The sequence below is a fragment of the Homo sapiens genome, chromosome 17 (assembly GCF_000001405.40).
Source record: "Homo sapiens chromosome 17, GRCh38.p14 Primary Assembly".
NCBI lineage: Eukaryota > Metazoa > Chordata > Mammalia > Primates > Hominidae > Homo > Homo sapiens.
This window is the reverse complement of record NC_000017.11, coordinates 306,709-320,946: the sequence shown is the minus strand read 5'-3', so window position 1 is coordinate 320,946 and position 14,238 is coordinate 306,709. Positions and strand designations below refer to the sequence as shown.

Below are 14,238 nucleotides of genomic sequence, written 5' to 3'. Positions count from 1 at the left end.
GCCAAGGGAGGGGTTCAGGTGGAGGCCAAGCCACAGGTCGCCCCTGAAAGGCTCCAGCAGGAGCCGCTCCCCGCCTGGCTCTACGTGCCTCTCCTGGCCTCCGCCTCCAGCGCCGACCACAGCTCAGTCTTCCAGCACTTCCATCGTGTCCAGTGTTTAATTACGAAAGCAATTCATATTTCCTAGAAAATCTGAAAAACACAGAAAAGCACAAGTAGGAAGACACAAATGCACTGGGCAGGAATTGATTTCATTCTGGCCTCCTATGTATCTTTGATCTTTCTTTTCCTTTTCTTTTTTTTTTGGGGGGGACAGGGTCTCACTCTGCAGTGTAGATTAGAATGCAGTGGTGCTATCACAGATCACTGCAGCCTCAACTTCCTGGGCTCAAGCGACCTCCCCACCTCAGCCTTAAGTAGCTAGGACCGTGCGTGGGCACCACCACACCCAGCTATTTTTTATTTTATTTTTTTTGTAGAGATGGGGTCTCACTATGTTACCCAGGCTGCTCTCGAACTTCTGGGCTCAAGCGATCCGCCTGCCTCAGCCTCACAAAGGGCTGGGATGTCAGGCATGAGCCACCCTGCCCGGCCTTATCTTTACAGTGGGAAAGACAGGCCAGATGGCATGGCTCATTCTTCAGCTGTGAGTCCACGTGTTCTCCGAGAGCCTTCGCTGGTCCCATGGAACATGCCCCTGTCCCTCAATGTCCCTCCCCCTCCCTCCCCTCAATGTCCCTCCCCCTCCCTCCCCTCAATGTCCCTCCCCCTCCCTCCCCTCAATGTCCCTCCCCCTCCCTCCCCTCAATGTCCCTCCCCCTCCCTCCCCTCAATGTCCCTCCCCCTCTCTCCCCTCAATGTCCCTCCCCCTCCCTCCCCTCAATGTCCCTCCCCCTCCCTCCCCTCAATGTCCCTCCCCCTCCCTCCCCTCAATCTCCCTCCCCCTCCCTCCCCTCAGTCTCCCTCCCCCTCCCTCCCCTCAGTCTCCCTCCCCCTCCCTCCCCTCAGTCTCCCTCCCCCTCCCTCCCCTCAATCTCCCTCCCCCTCCCTCCCCCCACTATTTCCATTTCATAGCGCTGCTCTCTATCTGAAACCAGTTCGCTTGTTTTCTTGCTTATGAATTTTCTTCCTTATTGAAGGTAAGTTCCATGAGAACAGGGACCATGTCTGTCTCTGGCTTGTTTGCTACAGTATTCCCAGTGTCTGATGAATCATAGGTGCTCACTGAATAGTTGGTGAGTGAATGAAGGATTCGCTGTTATCCAGGGGAAGGGCGGGGCAAGGAACAATATCCCAGGTGAGGGGACAGCACATGTGGCATGGTACGGTTTCGGGCCTCAGTGCAACTGTGCCCAGGCAGGAAGCACAGTCCCTCTGACTCTGTGTCCTGTGCTGCAGGCGGCTGGTGGAGCGGCTGGAGACCATGAGGCGGAATGTGATGGGGAACGGCCTGTCCCAGTGTCTGCTCTGCGGGGAGGTGCTGGGCTTCCTGGGCAGCTCGTCGGTGTTCTGCAAAGACTGCAGGAAGGTAAGACCCTGCTCTGGCCCTGTCATTCTGGCTTCCCAGCCTGGACCAGCCCCGCTGCGCTGTGGCTTTGCATCCTGGCTCCCAGGAGTGTGTATGTCTGCGTTGGGCATGTGGTATCCTCTGCATCTTGGCAAGAAGCACTAAGACTTAAAAACCAAATGGACTGATGTCTAGGGCCAGCTCTGCGTCTCAGCTTGGAGGCATCTTCTAGCCCTTCTGGTAGATTCACACCCGAGCCACGAGACCCAGAGCTGGTGTTAGAAGTCAGGCTGTGAATCTAGCTCTTCTGCTATGACCTCAGAAAACTTGTTTAATATCTCACACCTGATGTTCCTTGTCTGTAATATGTGGTCGTGATACCATGTACCTCACCATGCTATGAGGATTAAATATTCTTCAACGCAAAACTCTTAAAACCTTGCCTGGTACATAGGCACTCAATAAATGTTATCATCTCCAGAATATATGAAGGCAACAAGGAAAAAATGTTTTTAGTTGTTATTAGTTAAATCCTATCTTCCTGAAGTCCAAGCAGTATGCTGGGATTACACTTTCTGTTCCATTGGTCCTGCTTCTCTTGATCCCTGGTTACTCAAAGAAGAATGATCTTTGCAGGGAGATCAAATTGATTTTCTTCTTATACTAAATTGTGCCACATATTAAATTGTTTCGCATTGAGTCTAGGACTTTTTAAATATAGCTTTTAGTTTTTCTGGAGTTTCGACTTGCCTTTCGTTTTCTTATTTCTGGGAGAATAATATGCCTTCTAATCCTCAAGATAGTTAGCATCTTAATTATACTATCATATGGAGGCTATTTTTTTTTTCCTGGCATAAACCCTTCTAGATTCTTACTCCTGCTCCTCCTAGGTTGGTAGCTGCACAGCTATTATAACGGGATTTCCCTTTGCTGCCCTCCTAGGTGAGAAACACTGATCTCAAGACACCATGTCTTCCTCTTTTTTGTTTTCACCTTAGTTTTGCTGGAACCCATCCTCAAGTAACTTCCATGTGCTAGTCATGCTTTTTTCCACCCCCAGAGACGGAGTCTTGCTCTGTCACCCAGGCTGGAGTGCAAATGGTGCAGTCTTGGCTCACTGCAACCTCTGCCTCCAGGTTCAAGTGATTCTCCTGCCTCAGCCTCCTGAGTAGCTGGGATTACAGGTGCATGCCACCACTACCGGCTAATTTTTGAATTTTAGTAGAGACAGGGTTTCACCATGTTGGCCAGGCTGGTCTTGAACTCCTGACCTCAGGTGATCCGCCTGCCTCGGCCTCCCAAACTGCTGGGATTACAGGCGTGAGCCACCGTGCCTGGCTGCTAGTCATGGTTTTAAGACTGGAGTTATTATACTGAAGAAGACAGAGAAGGAATTTTCTTGAGATGATATTGGGCAAGGGAACTAAAAAACAAGTAATGATCAAATAAACAAGATGATGTCAGGAAATAATAAACCCTGGGAAGAAACAACAGAGGGTGGAGGGTGGAGGATGGAGGATGGGGTGGGGTGGGGTGGGGTGTGAACTGTTGAGAGAACCGGGAAAGATGGAGAAGTCAAAAGAAATAAATGTGGATGTGGAACATGCAGGCCACTGGCAAACTTGAGGGCATTTTCAGGGGCATTCAAAAGCTGGATGAGAAAACCAAAGGTACAGTGAAGTTAACCTGCCCAATTAGTAAGCAGGAAAGCCAGGACTTCAGCTACCTCATTTCTTTTCCTGCTTTTGTCATATGTGGTAAGGGAAAACTGGGCTGAGGAAGGTGGATTAACTGGCCCAAAAATACTGGAGGGGAGATGGGGGCCTGGGTGTAAGACTGTGCGGGCTCCTCCTTCAGCCTTGCCAAGGCCCTGGACTACAGGTCAGTGGAGGTGGGGGCACAGGGACTTCAGGTCAATGGAGGTGGGGGCACAGGGACTACAGGTCAATGGAGGTGTGGAGCACAGAAACTACAGGTCAATGGAGGTGGGGGCACATGGACTACAGGTCAATGGAGGTGTGGAGCACAGAGACTACAAGTCAATGGACGTGGGGCCACAGGGACTACAGGTCAATGGAGGTGGGGGCACAGGGACTTCAGGTCAATGGAGGTGGGGCACATGGACTAAAGGTCAATGGAGGTGGGACAGAGAGACTACAGGTCAATGGAGGTGGGGCACAGGGACTGCAGGTCAATGGAGGTGGAGCACAGGCACTGCAGGTCAATGGAGGTGGAGTACAGGGACTACAGGTCAATGGAGGTGGAGCACAGGGACTAAAGGTCAATGGAGGTGGGGCACAGGGACTACACGTCAGTGGAGGTGGAGTCACAGGGACTACAGGTCACTGGAGGTGGAGCACAGAGACTACAGGTCAGTGGAGGTGGGGCACAGAGACTACAGGTCAGTGGAGGTGGAGCACAGAGACTACAGGTCAATGGAGGTGGGGTCACAGGGACTACAGGTCAATGGAGGTGGGTGTAGAGAGACTACAGGTCAATGGAGGTGGAGCACAGAGACTACAGGTCAGTGGAGGTGGAGCACAGGGACTACAGGTCAATGGAGGTGGAGCACAGGGACTACACATCACTGGAGGTGGAGTCACAGGGACTACAGGTCAATGGAGGTGGGGGCACAGGGACTACAGGTCAATGGAGGTGGGGGCACAGGGACTTCAGGTCAATGGAGGTGGGGCACATGGACTACAGGTCAATGGAGGTGGGGCACAGAGACTACAGGTCAATGGAGGTGGGGCACAGGGACTGCAGGTCAATGGAGGTGGAGCACAGGCACTGCAGGTCAATGGAGGTGGAGTACAGGGACTACAAGTCAATGGAAGTGGAGCACAGGGACTACAGGTCAATGGAGGTGGGGCACAGGGACTACATGTCAGTGGAGGTGGAGTCACAGGGACTACAGGTCACTGGAGGTGGAGCACAGAGACTACAGGTCAGTGGAGGTGGGGCACAGAGACTACAGGTCAGTGGAGGTGGAGCACAGAGACTACAGGTCAATGGAGGTGGGGTCACAGGGACTACAGGACAATGGAGGTGGGTGCAGAGAGACTACAGGTCAATGGAGGTGGAGCACAGAGACTACAGGTCAGTGGAGGTGGAGCACAGGGACTACAGGTCAATGGAGGTGGAGCACAGAGACTACGCATCACTGGAGATGGAGTCACAGGGACTACAGGTCAATGGAGGTGGGGGCACAGGGACTACAGGTCAATGGAGGTGGGGCACAGGAACTACAGGTCAGTGGAGGTGGAGCACAGGGACTACAGGTCAATGGAGGTGGAGCACAGGGACTGCAGGTCAATGGAGGTGGGTGCAGAGAGACTACAGGTCAATGGAGGTGGAGCACAGGGACTACACATCACTGGAGGTGGAGTCACAGGGACTACAGGTCAATGGAGGTGGGGGCACAGGGACTACAGGTCAATGGAGGTGGGGCACAGGGACTACACGTCAGTGGAGGTGGGGTCACAGGGACTACAGGTCAATGGAGGTGGGGGCACAGGGACTACACATCAGTGGAGGTGGAGTCACAGGGACTACAGGTCAATGGAGGTGGGGGCACAGGGACTACAGGTCAATGGAGGTGGGGGCACAGGGACTACAGGTCAATGGAGGTGGGGCACAGGGACTACAGGTCAATAGAGATGGGGTCACGGGGACTAAAGGTCAATGGATGTGGAGCACAGAGACTACGGGTCAATAGAGGTGGGGCACAAGGACTACAGGTCAATGGAGGTGGGGTCACAGGGACTACAGGTCAGTGGAGGTGGAGCACAGGGACTACAGGTCAGTGGAGGTGGAGTACAGGGACTAGAGTTCAGTGGAGGTGGAGCACAGGGACTACAGGTCAATGGAGGTGGGGCACAGGGACTACAGGTCAATGGAGGTGGGAGCACAGGGACTACAGGTCAATGGAGGTGGAGTCACAGGGACTACAGGTCAATGGAGGTGGGAGCACAGGGACTACAGGTCAATGGAGGTGAGGCACAGGGACTACAGGTCAATGGAGGTGGGGGCACAGGGACTACAGGTCAATGGAGGTGGGGCACAGGGACTACAGGTCAGTGGAAGTGGAGTCACAGGGACTACAGGTCAGTGGAGGTGGGGTCACAGGGACTACAGGTCACTGGAGGTGGGGGCACAGGGACTACAGGTCAATGGAGGTGGGGGCACAGGGACTACAGGTGAATGAAGGTGGGGGCACAGAGACTACAGGTGAATGGAGGTGGAGCACAGGGACTACAGGTGAATGGAGGTGGGGGCACAGGGACTACAGGTCAATGGAGGTGGAGCACAGAGACTACAGGTCAATGGAGGTGGGGTCACAGGGACTACAATTCAGTGGAGGTGGAGCACAGGGACTACAGTTCAGTGGAGGTGGAGTACAGGGACTACAGGTCAATGGAGGTGGAGCACAGAGACTACAGGTCAATGGAGGTGGGGCACAGGGACTACTGGTCAATGGAGGTGGAGCACAGAGACTACAGGTCAATGGAGGTGGGGCACAGGGACTACTGGTCAATGGAGGTGGAGCACAGAGACTACAGGTCAATGGAGGTGGGGCACAGGGACTACAGGTCAATGGAGGTGGAGCACAGAGACTACAGGTCAATGGACGTGGAGTACAGGGACTACAGGTCAATGGAGGTGGGGTCACAGAGACTACAGGTCAATGGAGGTGGAGCACAGAGACTACAGGTCAGTGGAGGTGGAGCACAGAGACTACAGGTCAATGGAGGTGGAGTCACAGAGACTACAGGTCAATGGAGGTGGAGTCACAGGGACTACAGGTCAATGGAGGTGGGGCACAGGGACTACAGGTCAGTGGAGGTGGAGCACAGAGACTGCCTGTCAGTGGAGGTGGGGCACAGAGACTACAGGTCAATGGAGGTGGAGTCACAGGGACTACAGGTCAATGGACGTGGAGTATAGGGACTACAGGTCAATGGAGGTGGGGGCATAGAGACTACAGGTCAATGGAGGTGGGGGCAGAGGGACTACATGTCAGTGGAGGTGGGGCACAGAGACTTGGGAATGGCCAACTTGCAGGACTCGGGCAGTGACTCCTGCCTGGGAGAACGGGAGCTGGCAGTGTGCTTCCTCCTCCTGTCTCTCAACCCCACAGCTGCTGTGAATATTCCAGGTATAGGGGCCTGTGGAGAGGCACAGAGCCTGGCCTGTGGTAAATATTCCAGCTATAGGGGACCATGAAGAGGCACAGATCCTGGCCCACTTCCCCTGGGACAGTCCAGGGCCTGTGCTGCAGAGGCCGCTGCTGGTGTGGCTGTGCAACGGTTAGTACAGGTGCTCCTTGGAGCCATGTCTTAGGCAACAGTGGCTGTCCTGGGGAAGGACCTCAGCTGGATGTGGGTCCCCACGCTACTCTGGAGCTGTGGGCTGGTCCGGGCGTTTCTGTTGCAGATGGTTCTTGGTGTTGAGCAGACTGAGGTCTCAGTCCTGGCTTGGGTGATGAGGCCGGGGAATCTTTGAGCTTCTGAGGCTTCTGAGGGGCTTGTTCCAGGATTGAGGTGGGAGGGGAGTGTATTAGGGGAGCACAGCTGGATGGTGGGCATTTGGGGGCTTTGGAGGGTTCACTCTTCCTTCTTGGAGAAGGTGGTGTCATTCGTTCATTCATCTTCATTCATTCTGTAAATAATAGCCCATTGTGTGCAAGCCCTGTTCTGGGTCCTGCCGACGCCGTGAACGAGATGGACACAGTCCACCCTGTTGTGGAGATGACTTTCCAGGGTCAGGGCATAGAGAAGACAAATGAATAAACATGAAGCAAGACTAGGTACACCGAGGACTCTGTTGAATTAACGCAGAGCACCTAGGGAGAGGCTTAGGGGGCCTCTCTGAGCTCAGGCCCAAACACAAGCAACAGCTGGCCCTGGGAAGATCTGGGTGGAACAGTGTTCCCGGCAGAGGGAACGGCAAGTTTCCCCTGGAACAGTCCTGAAGGCCCTGAGGCAGGAACGAGCTGGGCATGTTCAAGGGGCACATGGTGGCATCTGGGGCAGAGAGTGAGCGGCCGGATGGCCCATCACACAGCCTCGCCAGTCAAGGTCAGGAGCTGAGATTTCACTTAAGTTTAATGAGATGCCAGTGGAGTGTTTTGAGCAGGGGTGTGATCTGATCTGTGTTTTTAAGAGACGACCCTAGTGCTGGAGACAGGTGGTGATGGCCGTCACTGGGAGATGATAGGGATGGAGACAGGCAACGTAGGGACTGAGGCCATTTGCTGAGACAGAGCGTCAGCCTCTTCAGTGTATTCTAAGCAGATGGAGAGGAATTAGAGGGGGTGAAGGAGGGTTCTAGGAAGGAAAGAGCTCTCGACTTCAGGGGGCTGGAATGAGAGGTCGCTTGGTCCACCCTGAGCAGCAAGAGGGCAGCCGGTTCTCCTGGACTTGCCAGTGAGGACTGTCCCCACGCAGATGCCACGCAGTGCTGGGGGCTCCTGCCCAGATGGGAGGGACTCATCTGTACTTTCAGGAGTGCCTCCGTGTTCCTGCAAGCACCTGGCACGGCTAGCTTCCCTCCTCCCTGGCTGCAGGATTGTGAGGTGGTTGTGCACGGAGCTGCAGGACCAGACAGACTTGGGTTGAGGTCCCAGCTTGGCCACGGTGGCGCGGTCTCGTACAAGTCACTTAACCTCTCTGGGCCTCTGTTCTTTCATCTGTAAAATGGGGTCATTAAGCTTCTGTCATCGTTGATGGATGCAATAGTGCAGGAGAAGCCCTTAGCAGACTGCCTGGCCCATTGGCAGCGTGCAGTAAAGGATGCCTGTGATTGTTATGAAACCTCTTCAGGGTCCTGCCTGCTGAGGCCACACACGTGTTACCAACGATGGAGCAGATCCCCAGACATTTCAGAAGAGGCTGAGTGACTCCCCGTGTCATAGTCAGCTCAGACCGCCCTAATAAAGTGCCACAGACTGGGCACCTTCAGCCGTAGATATTTATTTTTCAGTTTGGAGGCACGAAATTCTGAGATCAAGGTGCTGGCTGATTCTGTGTCTGGTGAGGGCCCTGTTCATGGCTTGCAGACAGCTGCCTTCTCCGTGTGTCCTCGTGTGGCAGGAGGAGAGGGCTCTAGTCTCTCCTCCTCCTCTTGCTTTTCTGTGTTTTGACAGGGTCTCACTCTGTCACCCAGGCTGGAGTGCAGTGGCATGATCATTGTTCACTGCAGCCTTCAACTCCTGGGGTCCTGCAATCTTCCCACCCCAGCTTCCCGGGCAGCTGAGACTACAGATGTGTGCCACCACGCCTGTCTAATTTTTAATTTTTTGTAGAGACAGGGTATCGCTTTGTTGCCCGGGCTGGTCTCTAACTAGCCCTCAAGCAATCCTCCCACCTCCGCTTCCCAAAGCACTGGGATTACAGACGTGAGCCACAGCACCCGGCCTCTCCCTTTTCTTATAAAGACACTAGTCCTATCGGATTAGGGCCTCACCCTTGCACCCTCATTTTACCTTAATTACCTCCTAAAGACCTTCTCTCCAAATACAGTCACTCTGGGGGTCAGGGCTTCAACATAGGAATTTTGAAGGGACACAGTTCAGTCCATAGCACCCACATTCTCCTCGTTGGAATTCTTGTTTTCTTAAAATTGGAGCTCCCACAGCTAGTCCCATATTTTCTGTAATTTACATAAAAGCCTCTGGAAGCCTTTGTAGCTCTCCAGCACTGGATGTCCTGAGCCGGCAGGGAAACGCCTCAGTCTTTGTGCTCGTATAAATGTCTCGTTATAATTGTCTCGTTACTCGTATAAATGTCTTTCTTGATCGCTTCGCCCATTGTGAGCCAATCCTGGGTTGGGGGGATCCAAAAAGAGAGGTTTTCAGAATAATCGCTTCCCTCACGTCCTGACCGTCAAGATGGGCAGACAGTATTCTCTAGTGTGACGTGCACTGTGGTTGGGACTGGGGTTCCCAGGACTCAGAGCAGCCAGGAGGGCTGCCTGGAGGAGTGGGCCCCTGGAGGCTGGGCAGGTTTCTGAAAGGCTGAGGGCAGAGGGAAGGGCATCCGGGGAGGGGAAGACCACACAGGCTGAGGCCGGAAGCTGGAAACGGGCTGGGCAAGTGCTCAACTGTGAGGATGATGCCTGGGGAGCACAGAGGCGTGTGCTGAAGGAAAAAGGAACACAGGATGCAATGGCAGATTCGACTTAGGAACAGTGGACCGAGGAGGAGGGACGGGGCATGCTCCAGCTGCCTCCAAGGCTGAGATCCTGGGGACCTGAAAACAGAGGGCAGAGCTGAGATCTTTGGGACGCTGAGCTGTAGGGGACTTGTAAGAGGGTGGAGTCTTTCAGGGGACGAGCTGCATTTGAGCAGTGAATGGGCAGGTGTAGAGGAGTCTTTCAGGGGACGAGCTGCATTTGAGCAGTGAATGGGCAGGTGCAGGGGAGTCTTTCGGGAGATGAACTGCGTTTGAGCAGTGAATGGGCAGGTGTGGAGGGCCTGGGACTCCAGGGAGATGATCGCAGAGGCACTGCCCCCCTGGGGGCCCTGCTGTAGGGGGTGGTGGCCTAGAACCCGAGTCGCTGGAGAATCAGGGAGGCCCAGACATAGCCCCTGCGAAGCCCTTGCCCCTGCAGGGCTCTCTCGTGTCTGGGAGGAGAGACGATGCCATCCCTTCCTTATCCCACAAATATTTATCGCACACCGACTGGTGTCAGGAGCCATGCGGATCCCAGTGCTCCGGAGGGAGGCGTGAAACCATTAAGGGTAATTAATTACAGCTGGGAATGGGGTTAAGGCGGCAGCCCTGGGGGGCTGGAAGGGCTCTAACACGGTGTGAGGAATCGGGCCCTCCACTCTGGGACTGCCGGTTTCTGGGCCACCTCCCTGTTTATCTCCATCTCCACATTCCGCCTCCTCACCTTCTGCGGATGGCTGCAGCCTGGGGCCCTGGGAGGTGTGTGGGCTTGGGCAGGCTGGAGAAGGGATGCTGGGGAGATCCCTGCCGTGGGAAGCATCCAGGCCCAGGCATGGTTGGGGAGGACAGAGCCTCAGGTGCTCCTGGGCACACACACGCGCCCCCAGCAGGAGCCCTGGCAGCGTTCAGCAGCTACAAGCTAATGAGCTTGTGGGTGGAAGCCGAGATGCCGGTCCTCGGAGCTGCGTCCCCTCCGTAATTGGGCCTGCATGCCTCGACTGCCTGCCCTCATTATCTGAGGGCCTTGGTGGGAAGGGAGAGGGGCTGGCTGGTTAATTAGAGAGGACTGGTGCTCCTAATTGCTTGGGATCTGAGTCAGCCAGCTTTGAGTCTCACTGAGAGTCCAGCTAGCCATGGGGAGGCTGGGCAGGGCCACAGCAGAGCCCGCCTGAGCCTGGGATGCATTGTCACCATTTGAGGGAAGCAGTCGTTTTTTTTTTCTGGTCTCAGCCAAAGGTGTCCCACAGTGTGGGTGCAGGGGAGCCTGCCTATGAAACGATGACCTGAGTCTTCATGAAGGAAGACTGGGCAGTCTTATATTTTGCCCACGTCCCTTAGAGGAGGTCCAGCTCAGGCTGGGGGCAGGTATTACCCAGCCCAGCATGGAGGGAAGGGGCTGGGTCAGAACCTGACCTTTCCCCTAACCTGGCTTGAGCCCACTTTGCACCGAGGAGGGGATGTGTCCTGCTGAGAGTCATCCCGGACCCCTGGCAGGGGGGCTGGCAGGAGCCTGGGGCAGGGCAGGGGACATGCCGTATCCTGGACCCCCAGCAGGAGGCTGGCAGGAGCCTGGGGCAGGGCAGGGGACGTGCCATATCCCAGACCCCCAGCAGGGGGCTGGCAGGAGCCCTGGACGGGGGATGTGCCATATCCTGGACCCCCAGCAGGAGGCTGGCAGGAGCCTGGGGCAGGGCAGGGGACGTGCCATATCCCGGACCCCCAGCAGGGGGGCTGGCAGGAGCCCTGGGCAGGGCGGGGGACATGCCATATCCCGGACCCCCAGCAGGGGGGCTGGCAGGAGCCCTGGACAAGGGATGTGCCGTATCCCGGACCCCCAGCAGGGGGCTGGCAGGAGCCCTGGGCAGGGCGGGGTACATGCCATTTTCCTAAGGCTTCAGCTTCCCTCTCTGTTTGGTATCTGGGACTCGAGGCCAGGAAGCCATGGACAGAGCAGGAGGAGTGCTCCTTTTTTAAGAGACAAGGTCTAGCTCTGCCGCCCAGGCTGGAGTGCAGTGGCAAACAGGGCTCACTGCAGCCTCAAACTCCTGGGCTCAATCGATCCTCCCACCTCGGCCTCCCTAGGAGCTAGGACCACAGTCATGCACCACCTCGCCTGGAAAATTTTTTATTTTTTGTAGAGACAGGGTCTGCTATGTTGCCCAGGCTGGTCTCAAACTCCTGGCTCAAATGATCCTCCTGCCTCGGCCTCTCAAAGTGCTGGGATTACAGGCTTGAGCCACCACAGCCAGCCTCCATCACTGCTTTATTCCCAGCAGCCAGTCCTCCAGTCTTAGAGATGGTGGCGATTTGTGACCTGCCTGCAGCAGCTGCCTAGAGAGAGTCTGCTAACCTCTGAGAAGTATTCTCCTTCTGCCTTGGGAAGCTGTGGGGGTCCTGGCCCCATCCAGTTTACAGAGAGCTGCTCCTGGAGGTGGAGGCATTAGGGCTAGGAGAGAATTCAGGTGCTGATGGGGTCTCTGCTACTCAAAGTGTGGGCCGAGGACCTCACCTGGATGTTCATTAGAAATGCAGAATCTCAGGCCCCCACAGACCTCCCAAACTAGAAGCTGCAGTTTAACCAGGTGCCCTTTGCATAATGCTTTCAAGGTTCATCCATGATGTAGCATGTGTAGGAATTTCCATCCTTTTTAAGGCGAGGAAAATTTCACTGTATGTGCATACCCCACTTTGTGTATCCACTCACCTGTGATGGATATTTGGGTTGCTTCCATGTTGCAGCTATTGTGAACAATGCTGCAGTGGGCACGAGCGTGCAAACCCCTCTGCAACCCTGCCTTCGATTCTCTTGGGTCTATACCCAGCAGTGGAATTGCTGAATCATACGGCAGTTCTGTGTTTACCTGTTTGAGGAGCCTCCACCCTGCTTTCCGTGGCAGCTGCACCATTTCACATCCCCACAAGCATAAGGCTTAGGAGAAGTCAGTTTTTTGCAGAGCCTCCCTCCCAAATGGGTGTGCGGTGAAAGTCCTCCACGGCCCTGTCCCCTACTCCCTTTCCAAAGCTAATCCTCAGTGCCCGTCCATTGCTGGAGCTGTAGAAGCAGCAGCCTCCTTGAGCCATTTCATCTCAGTCGCCTGCAAATTGGCCTCACAATGTCCTTTCTCCTCTTGACCTAATTCAGACGTGGAAGACGAGTGTTTGCCCCTCATTACAAAGATGGATTTTTTCATTCAGCGACTGAAGCTTCCTAAATTCCCGGAAAAAGTCACTTAATTCTTCTGCCCCGAGGGGCCTGCTTCGGCTCTCTTGCATCTCCAAGGCTGTCTGGCAGGAATGGACTTGGCTGCAGTTGCTGGGATCGGAGGATTGGACCAGACACCGCACGGCATCTTGGAACATCTGCCTTGCTCAGAGTCTGGCAAGCGGAACATCTCCATTGAGGCCTCCTTTTCTCTTGCTGTCTTGAGGCCTGCGTGTGGCTTTTCTTCTTCCAAAGAAAGAAGGAGCAGCTATCTTGTGCGGTGCTGAGCCCCTTCCGTTCACCCCAGCACACTGCTGACCTTCAGCTCAGGGTCATCAGCACAAAGGCAGCCAATCGGCTGCAGAGACCCAGGGTGGGCTTGGGGAACCACACGGATCCCTGGCAAGGCCCAGAGCTTTCTGGACGGAGCTTTGCATGACCTGTCCCCTGGTCAGTTCCTGTGTGCACTCAGCTCACCTTCGTGCCAGGCCCCGGGGCTGAGGAGGTAGAGATGCCAGCCCCTGCCCTCCAGGAGCTCATAGTTGGTGTCAGCTATTGCAGTGCAGTGTGAGGAGTGCTGTAGAAGTAGAAGGCAGGGATGAGCGTGGGGCAGACCTGCTGTGGGGAGGACCTGCCGTGGGGAGGATCTGCCGTGGGGAGGACCTGCCGCGGGATGGACCTGCCGTGGGATGGACCTGCCGTAGGATGGACCTGCCGCGGGGAGGACCTGCCGTGGGGAGGACCTGCCGTGGGGAGGACCTGCCGTGGGATGGACCTGCCGCGGGATGGACCTGCCGTGGGATGGACCTGCCGTGGGGAGGACCTGCCGTGGGATGGACCTGCCGTGGGATGGACCTGCCGTGGGGAGGACCTGCCGCGGGGAGGATCTGCCGTGGGATGGGCCTGCCATGGGGAGGACCTGCCATGGGGAGGATCTGCTGTGGGACAGGCCTGCCATGGGATGGGCCTGCCGTGGGGAGGACCTGCCATGGGTGAGCTGCGGCACCTGGGGAGGTGGGGGAGGCCCCCGGGCTGCAGAGTGGAGCAGATGTGGCAGCCGGGCCTGGAGGGTGGGTGACCAGGTGCCAGGAGAGGGCACTTCAGGAGCAGGCACAGCTCGGCAGAGGCAGTGTGCCCAGGAAGTGTGGGGGCATCGGGCGCAGCTGGGAGTCTGGTTATGCTGGGGCATGAGAAGGAGAGGAAGAGAGGAAAAGGGAAGAAGAGGAGGTCAGAGGGGGGAGGAAAAGAGGCCCTGAGGGGTAAGAAGCAGGTGGGGAGGGAGGGAAGGAGAGAGACGTGAGGATCGGGAGGACTCTGTGTGCCGGGCGCAGGGGCTGGGCTTGTGTCCTGTAGGCA

General features: G+C 55.8%; 1 protein-coding gene across 4 annotated transcripts in view, besides 7 other annotated features; it reads left to right on the top strand.

The window, feature by feature from the left end:
- Positions 1-14,238, top strand: part of RPH3AL (rabphilin 3A like (without C2 domains)) — a 140,419-nt gene that overhangs the window by 31,861 nt on the left and 94,320 nt on the right. For all 4 annotated transcript variants that reach the window (NM_001190413.2, NM_001190411.2, NM_001190412.2 and 1 more), the window contains one exon: positions 1,398-1,527. In NM_001190413.2, the coding sequence (NP_001177342.1) occupies positions 1,398-1,527 (130 nt within the window). The remainder of the gene's footprint in view (positions 1-1,397; positions 1,528-14,238) is intronic.
- Positions 3,585-4,085: an enhancer, noted in NCBI's record as "H3K27ac hESC enhancer chr17:166653-167153 (GRCh37/hg19 assembly coordinates)". NCBI's record gives its function as "activates a minimal SCP1, AML or CMV promoter by ChIP-STARR-seq in primed H9 embryonic stem cells {active_cell/tissue: H9 hESC(primed)}" and the evidence as "EXISTENCE:reporter gene assay evidence [ECO:0000049][PMID:30033119]".
- Positions 4,086-4,586: an enhancer, noted in NCBI's record as "H3K27ac hESC enhancer chr17:166152-166652 (GRCh37/hg19 assembly coordinates)". NCBI's record gives its function as "activates a minimal SCP1, AML or CMV promoter by ChIP-STARR-seq in primed H9 embryonic stem cells {active_cell/tissue: H9 hESC(primed)}" and the evidence as "EXISTENCE:reporter gene assay evidence [ECO:0000049][PMID:30033119]".
- Positions 4,589-5,104: an enhancer, noted in NCBI's record as "H3K27ac hESC enhancer chr17:165634-166149 (GRCh37/hg19 assembly coordinates)". NCBI's record gives its function as "activates a minimal SCP1, AML or CMV promoter by ChIP-STARR-seq in naive and primed H9 embryonic stem cells {active_cell/tissue: H9 hESC(naive and primed)}" and the evidence as "EXISTENCE:reporter gene assay evidence [ECO:0000049][PMID:30033119]".
- Positions 5,105-5,621: an enhancer, noted in NCBI's record as "H3K27ac hESC enhancer chr17:165117-165633 (GRCh37/hg19 assembly coordinates)". NCBI's record gives its function as "activates a minimal SCP1, AML or CMV promoter by ChIP-STARR-seq in primed H9 embryonic stem cells {active_cell/tissue: H9 hESC(primed)}" and the evidence as "EXISTENCE:reporter gene assay evidence [ECO:0000049][PMID:30033119]".
- Positions 5,622-6,137: an enhancer, noted in NCBI's record as "OCT4-H3K27ac hESC enhancer chr17:164601-165116 (GRCh37/hg19 assembly coordinates)". NCBI's record gives its function as "activates a minimal SCP1, AML or CMV promoter by ChIP-STARR-seq in primed H9 embryonic stem cells {active_cell/tissue: H9 hESC(primed)}" and the evidence as "EXISTENCE:reporter gene assay evidence [ECO:0000049][PMID:30033119]".
- Positions 9,025-9,722: an enhancer, noted in NCBI's record as "H3K4me1 hESC enhancer chr17:161016-161713 (GRCh37/hg19 assembly coordinates)". NCBI's record gives its function as "activates a minimal SCP1, AML or CMV promoter by ChIP-STARR-seq in naive H9 embryonic stem cells {active_cell/tissue: H9 hESC(naive)}" and the evidence as "EXISTENCE:reporter gene assay evidence [ECO:0000049][PMID:30033119]".
- Positions 9,723-10,421: an enhancer, noted in NCBI's record as "H3K27ac-H3K4me1 hESC enhancer chr17:160317-161015 (GRCh37/hg19 assembly coordinates)". NCBI's record gives its function as "activates a minimal SCP1, AML or CMV promoter by ChIP-STARR-seq in primed H9 embryonic stem cells {active_cell/tissue: H9 hESC(primed)}" and the evidence as "EXISTENCE:reporter gene assay evidence [ECO:0000049][PMID:30033119]".